General features: G+C 35.8%; 2 long non-coding RNA genes across 2 annotated transcripts in view; one reads left to right on the top strand and one right to left on the bottom strand.

Moving 5' to 3' along the window:
• G2E3-AS1 (G2E3 antisense RNA 1) overlaps positions 1–15,655 on the top strand; it is a 139,366-nt gene that overhangs the window by 59,051 nt on the left and 64,660 nt on the right. The gene's annotated exons all lie outside the window — the stretch shown is intronic.
• LOC105370432 (uncharacterized) lies at positions 5,113–14,867 on the bottom strand. The gene is made up of 3 exons (XR_943713.2): positions 14,766–14,867; positions 6,426–6,519; positions 5,113–5,461 (listed from the first exon to the last, which is right to left on the bottom strand). It is a non-coding gene; the product is annotated as an uncharacterized LOC105370432 (long non-coding RNA).

The following is a 15,655-nucleotide window of genomic DNA, read 5'->3' as shown; positions in this document are numbered from 1 at the left end:
ACAAATAACTGCCCACCCGATATGATTTTAGCAGCTATGAGAATGCCTACTGTCCCCACAAGCTTGAAATTCCAGGCCTGAAGCATTATTGTTTAACTTTGGTTTTGATTTCCTCAGGAGAAGTTGTTTTCCAAACCATGATTCACAGAAAACTACTAGTTTTATAGGTGTTCTTCTAAAAACCAAAACAAAATCCCCAAATCACTAAAACCCCCACATATTAGAAATGTATATGTGTCTATGTGTGTTTGAGGTGGGGATTCCATGGTTACATAAATTTGGGAAACATTTGGTTAAGTAATGTTAAGCAGATTTATTTATGTGGAATTCGAAGAGCCTTTAATGTTCAAATGTGTCTGTTGACTCTCAAAGAAGGCAGAATATGCAGCATTTTATATAACACATATTAACATTGCAGGAAACTAGTGTTCCCAAGAACACAGATTGAGAAATGCTCTTCTTAGTCATGTAGAGTTGAGTGTTCGCTAATTGCTAATTATTACCTGATAGCAGGATTTTCAAAGGAAAGGGGGAATGTAGGTAGAATCTGTTACCAACAGTTATTGGAGACTAATGGTTTTTCCACAATTTTGCTGCCATCACAACACTGTTAAAAAATAAAATCTTCCTCAGAATGGAAAATAGTTTGCTCTTTGAGAAGTTGGGTGGATTCTCAGTAGTGTGTTGCTCTTGGTAAACTATTCTCAGTAAATCATGGGGGCAGTACAATTTCCTGCCACATTCAAATCCTCAGAAGTTCTAATGGTGGCATCAATGGACCATACATGGTTTATAATGGGCTTTGATGTGTCCAATAATTTCTTGAAATAATAGAGAAAAGGTAGGATTTTATTTCCCCTGTTTTCTATTCTATGCCAGTTATGTGAAGCATTTTTATTGTTTTGGGGGCTCCAAGACAAATTAGATTCTCAAGGAAACTCTATTATTATTAATGTCATCAGCTAATGTCTTAGTCTGTTTTAGCTGCTACAACAAAATCAGAGGCCTTTCTCTTTAAACCTGTTGCATTCTTTTTCTGCTTGGGATTGTCATGGCGGGCCAGAGAGTAAAAAATATTTGGTGCTATACAATTGTACAAGAGAAATGTCACCCCAAGGGTCAGTTGAAGTAAAACTGGGCACTGGGTCGTCTGACAGCATTGACTTACTAGTTTTCAAAGCTGAAACCAGGGGGTGGTTCTCAACCCTGGCTACAAAAAGGAATATTAAAAACAAACAAAACAAAATGCAAACACTGGTGCCTGGGTCCTATGCTCACAGATTCAGATTTAATTGATTTGAGACTAGTCAAAGCATTGACATTGCTGAAGTCTCCCAGGGGGTTTTCCGTGCAGTGAAGATTGAGGATACGTGCTTTTGTGTTGATAGTTCTCATATGCCTTTAACTGGCTACAGATCTGTTATTTAAAATTTGATCAGGAGATTCAAGCATGATCTCATTTGTGTTGGAGTCACTTGAAGAGTCTAACTACTGCACCCTTTGGCACCCATGCCATGTTCTACTTCCCACCTGATGCACAATTGCAGCAAGTAACATGAGCACGAATAAAAGGAAAGCTTTTTGATAAGAGTCTCTGTGATTTTTGTCATTTTCAAAAGGGAAAATATCCTAAACATGTTATTTGATATTCAAAATATACCCTAGACTAGAACAACCAGGAAATTACCCAATGTATCAGGGCAAACATCTTAATTTAGAAGCCAGTGCATTTTTATTTGTAAGAGTGCCTGAGAATTCATTGAGCTTAGAGTAAGGAGATTCATTTATACGGTCTGCAACCACTCCAGGTATAGTTACACTTCTAGCCATTCTGGTGTAGGGATGGCTGTCAGGAATACTTCTACTACCTACTGTGCCAACTCACTCCATGTTACAGTGTAATGTTTCAGGGCTAGAGTCTTATCATGATATCAATGTATCTTATGAAACTGCCACCAGTAATATGTGGGTAGCGGAGGAGAAAAACACTTTAGAAATGCATTAAACCAGAGCTAGCCTGTGGAAAATTTTTCCAATCATTATACATGGAAAATTGTAGGATTTCATTCTCACTGACTCCAGTTAAAGTAGAATTTCTATCCTGTCAGGCATATACTTGATAATAGAGCAGAGTTGATAATAAATGCACCACTAAGTCTTTTCTTTATTGATAGGAATTGCATGAGATAGGACTCATCTCATATTCCTATTTGTCAGGGACAAATTTATAGCAGTACTGTTATTCTTTCTGTGGAGAATATTGCAAAATCATTGCCATAGGAGGGATTCAAACAATAGACAAAAAACATGGGAAAAAATAACAGAAGTGTATCAGACAGTTCATTCACAAAATAGTAATTTTTGTGGTATTAAGATATTTATAGCATTTATCAGCTTTAAGAATTTTTCAATTTGCTTTGTTTTGATTGCACTCATTACAAACTGATACTTGCTTTCATATCTAAGTGTTTGCTATTTTAATTAAAGATAGTACCTCTAGATTATATAAGATTTAGGTACCACAAAACCTGTATCTACTCTTGATATACTGCTCATAAAATGAATTAAAGTAGTATTCTTTTGTATAGTTCCTGTTATATTGATCTAGCATGCTTCAGGTAAAAACAGAAAACAATGATTCTCTCTGTAAAGGGAAATCTCTGGTTGATGAGAGTTAACTTAAAATAATTGTGGTGGGTCTTCAGAAAGGCATGTATTTGGATGAAGAATAGGAGCTAAAAATAAGAAAAGTCTAGAAATCAGAAAGACAAGGGAAAGACTAAAAGAGGTATAGTGAAATTTGAAAAGGAAAAGAAAGATAAGGCAGTATGGAAACAAAAATAAGGGAATGAACAGAAAACAGAAAAAAGAAAGGCAAGAGAACAATACCAGGTGGCTTTGTAAGGGTTACTGACAACTGATTTCACTTTTGGCTCCTTACTGAAGCTGATTGACAGGTGCGAATATCTACCTTTTCTTTAGAAATGACCCAGCAAAACTAAAGAGTGTTCTGCTAGCTGCTTGACCACTATGAATCCAAAGTAGGTGTTAAACATAGTAACTCAGGTAAAGAATGTGGTCCTATAGATTTCTGAAGGCAGATCACTAAAATTATACAAGATTACTTGGGGTTTAGATAGATACATGTTTATATTATAATCTCTTGGAAAAGTTTAGAGATTGTCTCAATCTTCATTCCATACAATAATTATTCTTAAGAACAATGTTCTGAAAAATAATGTATTCAACGTTTGCATGAACAGGTGCAAAGACTATAGGCTTTTTTCTATATAAGACACCCATTTCATTTTGGGGCAGTTCTACTTGTTAGAAAAATATCTTCCTTGTTGAGTCTGAAATCCACTTTCCTGTAACTTCAAATCCCTGGACTTAGTATTGTTTTTTGTTTTTGTTTCTTTGTTTGGTTTTTTGAATCAGAGTCTCATCCTGTCACCCAGGCTGGAGTGCAGTGGCATGATCTCAGCTTACTGCAACCTCTGCCTCCCGGGTTCAAGAGATTCTCATGCCTCAGCCTCCTGAGTAACTTGGACTACAGGTGTGCAGCACTACGCCTGGCTAATTTTTGTATTTTTTGGTAGAGACAGGATTTCACCATGTTAGCCAGGCTGATTTTGAAGTCCTGGCCTCAAGTGATCTGCCCACCTTGGCCTCCCAAAGTACTGGGATTACAGGCATGAGCCACCATGCCTGGCTGTACTCAGTATTGTTATTTGTAACAACACTCTATTTTAATTAAACAGATCTTAAAATATTTAAAGACCTCACCTCCACTTGGTATGACATGCTTTACCCTCATGATTTCCCATCTCTGGGCATAATCTTGGTGATATAGTTTGGCTGTGTCCCCACCCAAATCTCATCTTGAATTCCTACCTGTTGTGGGAGGGACCAAGTGTGAGGTAATTAAATCATGGAGGCAAATCTTTCCCCTGCTGTTCTCATGATAATGAATAAGTCTCACGAGATCTGATGGTTTTAAAAAGAGGAGTTCCCTTGTACAACTCTCTCTTTTTCCTGCTCTCATCCATGTAAGATGTGACTTGCTCCTCCTTGCCTTCCACCATGATTGTGAAGCCTCCCCAGCCACGTGGAACTGTAAGTCCCCTTAAACCTCTTTCTTTTGTAAATTTCCCAGTCTCAGGTAGCGTGAAAATGGACTAATACACTTGGATAGCTCTTTCTCAAAGCATTACAGTCAGAGATGAACATGATTCTCTGCATAGAGATGGACCTACATAGGCACTATTTCACACTGTCCTCCCATTTAGTAGGCTATGTTTGAATTACATTTAGCCACTTTGGCACACTGTTGGCCCAGAGTAAGCTTATGATTATCTAACAGCACCACCCCATTTCTACCCGCTAGGATTTTTAAATTTGAACTTCTAACAGGGTAGGTTTTTCCTTGAATGTTATACTTGAGCAACTGTGTTTTGAACTTTGAATCTAAGTGCAGGGGTTTATAGTTACTGTTATTAAATTTAAGCTTTTCAGTGTATGGCTAACATTATCACCTATTGTGATCTTTCTGAATCTTGACATTTAAATTCATCTTATTAGTTATTTCTTCCAGAATTACCAATAACTCCTTTCCTGACTAGCTGGTAACAATGTGGATGAGGAAATTTGGGCATAGCTCCAGAACAGTGTTTCAGTAGGATTTTCCATGATGATGGAAATGTTACATCTATGCTGTATAATATGGTGACCATTAATGATGTGTAGCTATTGAGTATTGAAATGTGGCCGAAGGACAGGTTTGGTAACTTCCTTTAGAGAGGTTGACATTGTTACATTAAGTCACACACTTACTTTTTTTATTGATACATAATAGACATACATATTTTTGAGATGCAAGTAATAATTCAATACATTCATATAGTTTGCATAATTGGGATATCTGTCAAAGCAACACACTTTTAATATTGTTTTCCAACTTTGAATTTCCCTGTACTCTGCTGCCACAGTTTCAGTCTATCCATCTTATTCTTAAAGATAACATGAGATATTTTGCCAAATATCTTAGGGAAATATCTGATGCTGCTTTAACAGCAGCTAAAAGTAATATATTAGGTGTATGCTATCTGCATGGCAACATGGATGAATCTTACAGACATACTGTGTAATGAAAGTTACAGAGTTTTATATATGTGTGTGTGCATGTGTGTGCATAATTATGTGCAAACAAATATCCATTTGGAAAGAACACAGACACAAAAGATATATATTCAAATAATTAAAATAGGTGCTATGGGGTTGAGGAGATTGGGAGAGAGGTATGGGGATGAGAGAAAATAAATAAAACAACAATAAACAAGACACAAGGCTTATGCTAGGAATGGAGGAGTGTGGTTAATTCAATCTTCTTTGTCTGTGGCCGAAAATAGATACACTCAGTTTACAGCACCTTTTTGACTTTTCCAGGCCAGTAATTATATAGCTGGGGGTGGGGCAGGGTGAGAAAATTAAAAATCAGATTAGTTTCATGTAATTCTTATTCAGTCACTTCCTAGCAGCATACTTTCTCAAAGAACTCATACTAGCTCTTAGTAATCAGTGCACAGTTTGTTTTTGTTTTTGTTTTTGTTTTTTTCCCCTAGGTGTAGTTAATAAAAGGCAAGGCAAACCTTTTTTGAACATTATTCACTTGGCACCTGGCAAGCCAAAACAATGTTTAGTTTCCAATTTTGTCTCTTTTATATACATAATTAGGGTCACAAATTCAAATTTGAAACTAATTGGTTGGGAAGTATAAGGGTAGTGGTTCCTGAGTTTCTTTTTAGTTTAAGTTTTATGTTTTTAGCTGCTTTGGTCTTATTGCTTGGTCCTTTGTATATGGGAGCAGACTGCTTTTATATTTTTTATAATAACTTGAAACAGGATATAGACAGGAAAAATTTTAGTATGCTGCTATGGTCTGAATGTTCATATTTCCTCCCCCTCCCCAAATCGTATGTTGAAATCCTAACCCAAAGGCGATAGTATTAGGAAGTGGAGCCTTTGGGAGGTGAATAAATCATGAGTGCTCTTCACCCAAGAATGGGATTAGTGCTCTTATAAAGGAGACTCCAGAGAGCTGCCTTGCTCTTTCCACCTTGTGAGGATGAGTGAGAAGGCACCACTTATGAACCAGGAAATGGGCCCATTTCAGAGACACTGAATCTGCCAGCACCTTGATTTTGGACTTCCCAGCCTCCAGAACTGCAGGAAATAAGTTTCTGTTGTATATAAGCCACCCAGCCTCTGATTTTGTTGTAGCAGCTAAAACAGACTAAGACATTAGCTGATGACATTAATAATAATAGAGTTTCCTTGAGAATCTAATTTGTCTTGGAGCCCCCAAAACAATAAAAATGCTTCACATAACTGGCATAGAATAGAAAACAGGGGAAATAAAATCCTACCTTTTAATAGAAGTATAGTGAATCCACACCTGGAAGGTTGTGTGCATAGCTGGTTGTTGCAACTCAAGAAAGACATAGTGGAACAATTATAAATCTAGAGAATAGTAATTATAGAGACAGGGACTAATGTAAGATTTGGAAAGAAAAAAAGCAAAACTATCCTATCTGAGAAAATGAATGCCTAGAGAAGATGGCAATAAACTTTGCAGAATACTAACGTATATGAACTAAAATGAACCTGAATTTAATGAAGTACAGCTACTATAACTAAGCTACATAGACTGATGATTTTCTGGGGCTTTATTTCTTTCTGAGTTTCATCCTGTTTTTATACTATAAACACCCCGTCTCACAGGATCTAATTGTTATTCATACTAAAATGTTGGAGATCAAGTGTGTTAAATAGGAATTTAGGAATTACCACATTGGGTTGCATTTATGGTCCATCGGCTCAGCATTGTATTTAAATGGGGCTTCCAGGATGTGGAAGAAAGTGCTTTTACACTGGGTGTAGCAGGTTTGAAGCAGCTAGAAGTAGCCTTTATTTCAAAAATCCTCAAGGAAAAAGCTAAACCAAGGGAATCTGAAATTTTCTGTTCCTCAGGGGAAACTAAATGAGACTTGTGAGTTAGTTCATTGCAGTTTACGTGAGCAAATTCAGTTTTCTATAACAAACATATTCTTTGGATTAAGTGGACAAATACAATTTTCTATTGAAAATATGTTCATTATATAGTGATTAAAATATTTAATGTATTGTAATAATACAATTAACAAACCTGTAATTTGTGACCTGGTCAGGTTTTTGGATCACTGATCTCTTGATCCTCTTTTTTTTTTTTCATTCTTATTGATCATAACCTGATTGTTCAAGTCACCCAAACCTGGCGTCCTCTTAAATTTCTTTAAAATATTTTTATTATTTTATTTTGTTTTTATTTTTTAAAATGTTTATGGATACATACTATGTGTATATATTTATGGGGTATATAAGATGTTTTGATACAGGTATGCAACCTGAAATAAGCACATCTTGGGGAATGGGGTATCCATGACCTTCAAGCATTTATTCTTTGAGTTGCAAACAATCGTATTACACTCTTTAACTTATTTTAAAATGTACAACTAAGTTATTATTAACTATAGTCACCCTATTGCACTATCAAATAATAGGTTTTATTCATTCTTTCTAGTTTTTTTTGGAACCCATTAACTGCCCCTGAGGCCTCCACTACCCTTCCCAGCCTCTAATAACCACCCTTCTACTCTCTATGTCCATGAGTTCAATCATTTTGATTTTTAGATTCTACAAATAAGTGAGAACATGCAATGTTTGTCTTCCTGTGCCTGGCTTATTTCACTTAATATCATGATCTCCAGTTCCATCATATTGCTGCAAATGTCTGGATCTCATTCTTTTTTATGACTGAATTGTGCTCCATTGTGTATATGTATTGTATTTTCTTTATCTATTCATCTGTTGATGAACACTTAGGTTGCTTCCAAACCCTAGCTATTGTAAACATTGCTGCAACAAACATAGGAGTGCAGATATTTCTTCGATATATTGATTTCCTTTCTTTTGGGTGTATACCCAGCAGTGGGATTGCTGGATCATATGATAGCTCAATTTTTAGTTTCTTGAGGAATCTCCAAACTGTTCTCTGTAGTGGCTGTATTAATTTACATTCCCTGCAACAGTGTTTGGTGTTCCCTTTTCTCCACATCTTCGCCAGCATTTGTTATTGCCTATCTTTTGGACATAAGCCATTTTATCTGGGGTGAGATGATATCTCATTGTAGTTTTGATTTGCATTTCTCTGATGATCAATGATCTTGAGCACCTTTTCGTATGCCTGCTTGCCATTTGTATGTCTTCTTTGGAGAAATATCTATTCAATTTTTTGGCCATTTTTTGATCAGATTATTAGACTTTTTCCTATAGAGTTGTTTGAGCTCCTTATACATTCCGGTTATTAATCCCTTGTCAGATGAAGAGTTTGCAAATATTTTCTCCCATTCTGTGGGTTATCTCTTCACTTTGTGGATTGTATCCTTTGCTGCACAAAAGCTTTTCAACCTGATGTGATCCCATTTGTCCATTTTTCCTTTGTTGCCTATGCTTGTGGAGTATTGTTCAAGAAGGTCCTCCTAAATTTCTTCCCCAAGTAGCCACAAAATCCAATTGGTCACCAAGTCTTTCTTAATGTTTCTAGAATTTTCTCCTCCTCTGCACATTCATTTTCACTGCTCTGATTCAAACTCTCATTATAACTCACTTGGACTATTGCAATAGGTTTCTAGCTAATCTCGTTGCTTTGGGAGGAATCATCTATTCCAGGTGTTGGCAAACAATATGGCTTATGGGCCAAATCCCGTCTGTATCAGCCTTTGATGTAATCCATTCTCCACTCTGCAGTCAGAGTAATATTTCAAAGACTCAAATCTCGTTATGTTAATCCTACTTAAAATCTTGCAATAACTTCTCATCATCCACAGAATAAAATTCAGATACTTCTATACCAAATATAATTCACAGGGCTGTTATTCATTTGTCCCCTGCCTGCTTTTCTAGTCTCATATTCTGCCATTTCTCTGCTTGCTTAGTATATCCTATTATGACAAAGTACTTGCAGTGTACCAGATGTGTGGTATTTTTCCTCAAGTTCTTGCTTCTGGCAAACAGTCATTTTTCAAGATTATGCACAACTGTTGACACTTAAGTAGACTCTCTAGATCTCTCCAAGCAGAAGGAAACACTTCCTTCCTGTGAATTTTTTCATTTCTTCTTCTTATCCTTATCACTGATAGTACTTATTTAAATTTATTGTTATTTTAAATGACTTCTCTGTTTTTCCTTAGAGATTATAAGCCTTTGGAGGCTCTGAATGGTGTCTTATTTATTCTAATATCCCTTGTACCTCCCATACTGTCTCGCATGCAATAAACCCTTATGAAACATCTGCTGAATAAATGAATAAAGAAACTTTAGCTGAGTCTTTCTTAAATAAACTTTCATGTGATCTGTAGAAAAGTAAACTTTTTGCCATGATAACTCCAAAATGCTACAAATTACTCTTATGCTAAAATTTGCTGAGAAAAATAAAAGAGAAAAACAACACTTCCCCATAAAGTTATATAATGGAAGAACAAAAATCAACTTTTTAAAATCAGAGAAATGAAATATTTTTTACTATGAGAAAAGCAAGGAAATGGTTTTGTTGACTGTAAATTAGAAATATACTATTATGTGGATCAAATCATATTATTAAAAGTTGAATTGATTAAAATACTCAATTTGGCTTCATGACGTAAAATGACTGGTGTTTCATTTTCTAACTGCTTTGCCAGGTTTTACAGACTGAACTGACAGTACAAAACAATGTTAGGACTTCACATAGGAAATGTGAAGGTAGAATTAAAGGCTCTGAATCCAGATGAACAACAGATGTAATGAATACAGCTAATCAGAGCACATAAAGCAACATCACACAGTAAATAACACACAAAAAGCCAGATGATATAATGTTAAGTGAAAAAAGCAGAAAGTGAAAATATGTATTTACTCAGACTTTCAGAAATGGCAGAGTTATTTAACCAGAATAACCTTCGCACAGATAACTATTATATATGATATATTTACACCTCTCTCCACACCCTAACCACCCATTTGAAAGTACTGGAGACCAACAAAACACTCAGATACCAGAGAGAGTCTACCTTTGAAAGACAGGAATTGCAACAGTGAGATTTGTGAGTATGCACCTTTTTGCCTGAGGGTACATCCTGTAGGGACCAAGAGCTTGGTCCTCTGAAAGTTCACTGAAAAATCAACTTGGCAAAGGCAGATTAATTGGAGAAAAGGCATACAAATGTATTTAATGAGTATACACAGGAGCCTTCAGAATGAAGACCCAAAGATATAGAGGAAACTGTCCATTTCAATGCTTAGGTTCAATAAATTATAAACAGCCATGTAGAAATATGGTTGGACAAAAATATAATAGTAATAGACTGAGTGGGGAAGCCCAGCATGGCCTGTCTGTCTGGATTCTTGGCCTCTCCGAGCAGTATTCCTTCCTTTTGGGTGTGGGGCAGGACCCTCTTTGGAATAGGGGGTCTTATGACCTACAGGCAAACAACGTAGGTCAGATTAATTTCTTTATGGCTAGTTCTTACACAGAATATTTTAGGTGTTATGGTTGGCTTTGGGGTGAAGGGGTTCTTCTGGTTTCTATGACTGTCTTGGGGAATACGGTTTCTAGTTTCTGTGGCTGGCCTCCGGGAAGAACGGGACTGAGAGATACAAGGGTAGGAGGGGTCAAAGAAAAACCTTTGCCTGTGAGTCTGCTTCTGTGGCCTTCATTTTGGAGTGTTGTTTTCTGAGGCCCCATAGTACCAAACTTCATGGGCTCTGGGTAACAGAAAGTTGCAGTTTTACTGGCTTGAGGTAAAAGAGGAAGTGAGTTCTAGATTGGCAGAGAAGCTGGAAGGATTGAGGAGGAAATTCCTGGAAAGGAGGAAGCTGCGGAAGGAGGGAACTTCAAAATTTGTGTATAAATTCCACCCAAACCCCCACTTGACTACTATATATGCCCAAGAGACTCCAGTGTCCTGGTGAAAATCAGCAGCTGGAATATGAAAGAATTGGGCAGAAATTTTAGCTGCTGCCCACTACTAGAGAAATAGAGTTCAGATTGTGAGATTAGCCAAGTTAACTACCTGCTAGGACAAAAATCAGCGCTCTTAAGAAGAATATAAATTCCAGAGTCTCTATAATATAGCTTTTGTAATGTCTAGAATACGATAAAAAACTAGGTATGCAAACTTGTGGGAAAATGTGATCTATAGGAGAAAATGCAATTATTAAGATCTAGTCACCAGATGATTCAGATGCTACAATTAAAACGTAAATATTTAAAAGCTGCTATTATAAATGCATTAAAAAAACTTAAAGGAAAAATAACAAATTAACTGAAAATTTTGGCAGAGAACAAGAAACTAAAAAAAGAGCCAAAAAATTATAGAAATGAAAAATACATTAATTAAATTTAAAAATTAAATGGGTGAGATTAAAAGTAGATTAGAGATGGCAGAAAACAACAGTCAGTAAACTTGAGGGTGGATCAATACAAGTTATTAATCTGAAGAGTAGACAAAAAGAAGAAAAGAATGAAGGAAAATGAATAGTGTCTCAGAGGCAAACGGGACAATATCAAGGGGTCTCATATATGTGTAAACTGATCTCCCAAAGGTGAGGGGATAGAATAGGGAAGGATAAAACATCCTGAAACATAATGGTTGAAAATTTATAAAAAATAAACTTACAGATCCAAGAAACAACAAACTCCAAAGAGAATTATTATAAGGAACACCACACCTAGGCACATCATAGTCAAAATCATAAATCTGAAAGAGAAAATCTTGAAAGCAGCCAGAGAAAGACAATATATTACAAACAAGGAAATAACAGTAAGCATTCTGCTTCCACTGCCTACTCCTCTGAAATCACTGAGACCGGTTGACAATGGAACATTTTTAGACCACTGAAAGAAGAAAAAAAGTCAGTCAAGAATTCTAAAACAAGAAAAACTATCCATCAAAAATGAAGATGAAACAAAGACCTTTGAAGATAAACAAAAACCAAGAGAATTTGTTGCCACAAGACTGTAATATAGAAATACTAAAGGAAATTCTTTAGATGGAAGAGAAATGACACAATTGTAACTTGTATATACAGGAACAGATAAAGAGCATTAAAAATGATAAATATTTGAGTAAATATAAAAGGCTACATATATTTTTCTATTTTCTCTTAATCTATCTCTTCCAGAAAACATTTAAATAGAGACAGGATCTTGCTGTGTTGCCCAGACTGGACTTGAACTCCTGGGTTCAAGCAATTCTCCTACCTCAGCCTGCAAGTAGCTGGGACTACAGGCATGCACCACTGTGCCTGGCTCTCTTAATTTCTTTAAAAGACATTATTAAAAGCAAAAATTATAGTACTGTTTTCTGTATTGGGGTCTTTAATAACAACAATAGCACAAGGAATGAGAGGGTTAACAGAGCTATTTGGTTGCAAGATTCTCATATTTTAAATGAAATGGTATAATATTGACTCTAAATGTACTGTGACAAGTTAAAGATGCATATCTCTAGATCAACCACTAGGAGTAGAGGTATAGCTAAAAAGCTAATAGAATAATTAAAATAAAATTATTAAAAATATTTAACCCCAAAGAGGTCAGAATAGGAGGAACAGAGGAATAGAAATGACAAGAATAGTCCAGGAATGGTGACTCACGCCTGTTAATCCCAGCACTTTGGGAGGCGGAGGCAGGAGGATTGCTTGAGCCCAGGAGTTTGAGACCAGCTTGGGTAACATGGTGAAATCCCATCTCTACAAAAATATGCAAAAATTAGCCAGGTGTGGGGACGCACAACTCCCAGCTACTTGGAAGGCTAAGGTGGGAGAATTGCTTGGGCCCAGGAAGCAGAGGCTGTGGTTGGCCAAGATCACACCACTGCACTCCAGCCTGAGCGACAGACTGAGACCCTTTCTCAAAAATAAAACAAAAAACAAACAAACAAACTGAAAAAAAAAAAACCCATAAATCACAAGAATAGATGAGAAAAATGGAAAACATAGCAAAATGAGGTAGATCTAAATCCAAAGATATGATTATACCAAATATAGTTCGATTTAGGTATACCATTGAATATCATTATTATGCTGAATACTGTAAGAAGCAGAGATTGTCAGACTGTTTAAAATAAATAAGACCCAATTGTATGCTGTCTGCAAGAGATACATTTTTTTGCTTTTTCTAAAAAGGACCAAATAAGTTGCAAGAAAAGGATGTAAAAAGTATATACCAGGCAAACAATAAGCACGAAATGTATAATAGATTAAAAGTGTCAGAAATAGTGTTGAATGAAACATTATGCAGCAATGAAAATGAATAAATAACTATGCACAACAATAAGGATGCTCCTCACAAATAATACTGAATGAAAACCCAGTCACATATAAAAAAATGCAATTGAATAATTTCATTTATATTAAGTTCAAAAAAGCAAAACTAATCTATGGTGTTTGTTGTCAGGATGGTGGTTTTCTTTAGGGAAGATTGGGCAGTAGGTGCTGGATAAGTATACAAGGGGACCTTCAAAGTGCTGAATAATGTTCTTATTTCTTGCTGTGGGTACTGTTTACATCAGTGTGCTTACTTTGTTACTAATTGAACTGGACACTTAAGATTTGTGTACTTTATCCATGTTTTACTTCAATAAGAATGTTTGTTTTAAAAGATGGGCTGAATTAGGCTATGTAAAATCTAGAGAAATACCACACAATTAATGAATTGTCTCACCAATAAAATCATAGTGCAAAGAAAGAGTATATTTTGAGGGAAATACGTAAAAGAAATACTCATCTATAAAAATTTTAAGTTTTTGAAAACCTCAACAGTTTGGAGCTATGGATAGTGAATCATAATTAATGATAACTCTTTAGAATACTTTGTAAATGCTTTTGAAGTTTATTTAAAAAAATAAGCATAGCACCATAAATAAGGAGATACCCACATCACTTTATATATCTTGAATTTGCAATAATATTTTTATTACCATTCTCATGCTTCAAGGTCTCCTTCCTTCTACATTCTTTTACAAAATCATTTTAAATTTGTTTTGCTATATTGCAGATAATTTCCGTGCTTAATACTTTTGTGATAGGACTTGGAACTGAACTGTTGACTCCAACTTCTAGGGTTGTGTTTTTGGTGTCAGACATCTGTCGTTATTTGGATGTTCGAGGTGGAAAAATCTTGGGCAATCATTATTTAATTAACTCAGCTTAGTTAAACATATGAGATTATCTGATATTTGGCTTGATGATATCTTGCCAAAGCTCCTGCCTTTAGCTCCTTCTTCACCCTCAATTCCCTTGAGAGCTAACAAATACAGGAACACAGTTTGAACTTCGGAGTTTATTTTCTTCCAGCTTTAGCTATCTTAAAAGTTCACTGCTAAAGCCTTTATTAATTCTTAACCAGTTTCTTTACTTTTCCTTCTGAATTCCAAGTTCTTCTTTTTCTGATATTCCCATTAGGAATGGCTTCAGTTTGAGCATATATTGAAATTTCTATGGTTTCTAGAAAGATACACTGAAATCCAGATTTATTAGAATTCCACATAAGGGTTATTTGTGGTAGGCAGTAGTACCGTGTCCCACATTAACAATTACATCATTGGCATTTCTAGCTTTTAGAATTCTAGGTATTGTTTTCTACTTCATTTTACTTTTAATTATTTCCAATTTTCTATGCCAATTACCTTTATAATCAGAAAAAAATCCTAAAATATAGCAATCAGTTATGGTGTCTTGGAACTGGCTCTTATTGGTTCAGGAGAGCAGAGGATGTGCATCTTTTCCTAACTTCCTGTTCAGTGACCTCATGTTGGTATTATGACATCAGCAAAGATGGGAACATTTGCACCATGGAAACTGGCAACACTAAAATTCAGGGTTTTGATTTTAGAGAATCTGCTTACCAGCAATCTACAGGCAAGCAGCATCTCTACATAACCTGAAAGAGTAGTCAGTTGATTCTATAAACAGCAACTATAAACACATAAATACAGAAGGTGGGGCATGGCTGCCTTCATACCTCACTAATTTTGGCAAAACCCAGCCTTTGAGAGCTTGGTGAACAGCTTGTGGAAAATGAAAACATTAAATTGCTGGCTGGTCGGAAGCGAATTCTGGGATGGGAAGAACAATTGCAGCTCTCAATTCTTTGGCTTGCAGTAAACAAGGCCACAAAGGGCCTGAGAATTATTTTATTCCTTACATAGGAAGACATCTTACTAGCCTTACCGAGGGCTAACCAAGAAATGATAAGTTTATGTTTTAGCTGCATTTGAAATTTGGGTTACATATAAGTGCTGTGAATCACTGGAATGTGTGACAAAGTTAGTCACATAAAGTCTTCTTCTTTGGTGACTTTTCAGAGACCAGAATTTTTTTGAGGCAGGGGTTGGGGGTGGGGGGTTGGTTTTATTTTTCCTGAAGGCAGAAGGAAAATTACATGGTATTTTCATAATTTCTTTTAAATTTCTTGTAAGAATTACATTCACCTAAAAATAGTGGGGGAAGTGTTATTTTCAATCAGAGTTACTGGGTCTTACTATAGTGCTTTTCTCACCATGATAGTGTCAGGGAA

The sequence above is a fragment of the Homo sapiens genome, chromosome 14, assembly GCF_000001405.40.
Source record: "Homo sapiens chromosome 14, GRCh38.p14 Primary Assembly".
Classification (NCBI taxonomy): Eukaryota; Metazoa; Chordata; class Mammalia; order Primates; family Hominidae; genus Homo; species Homo sapiens.
This window is presented reverse-complemented; position numbering and strand designations above follow the sequence as displayed.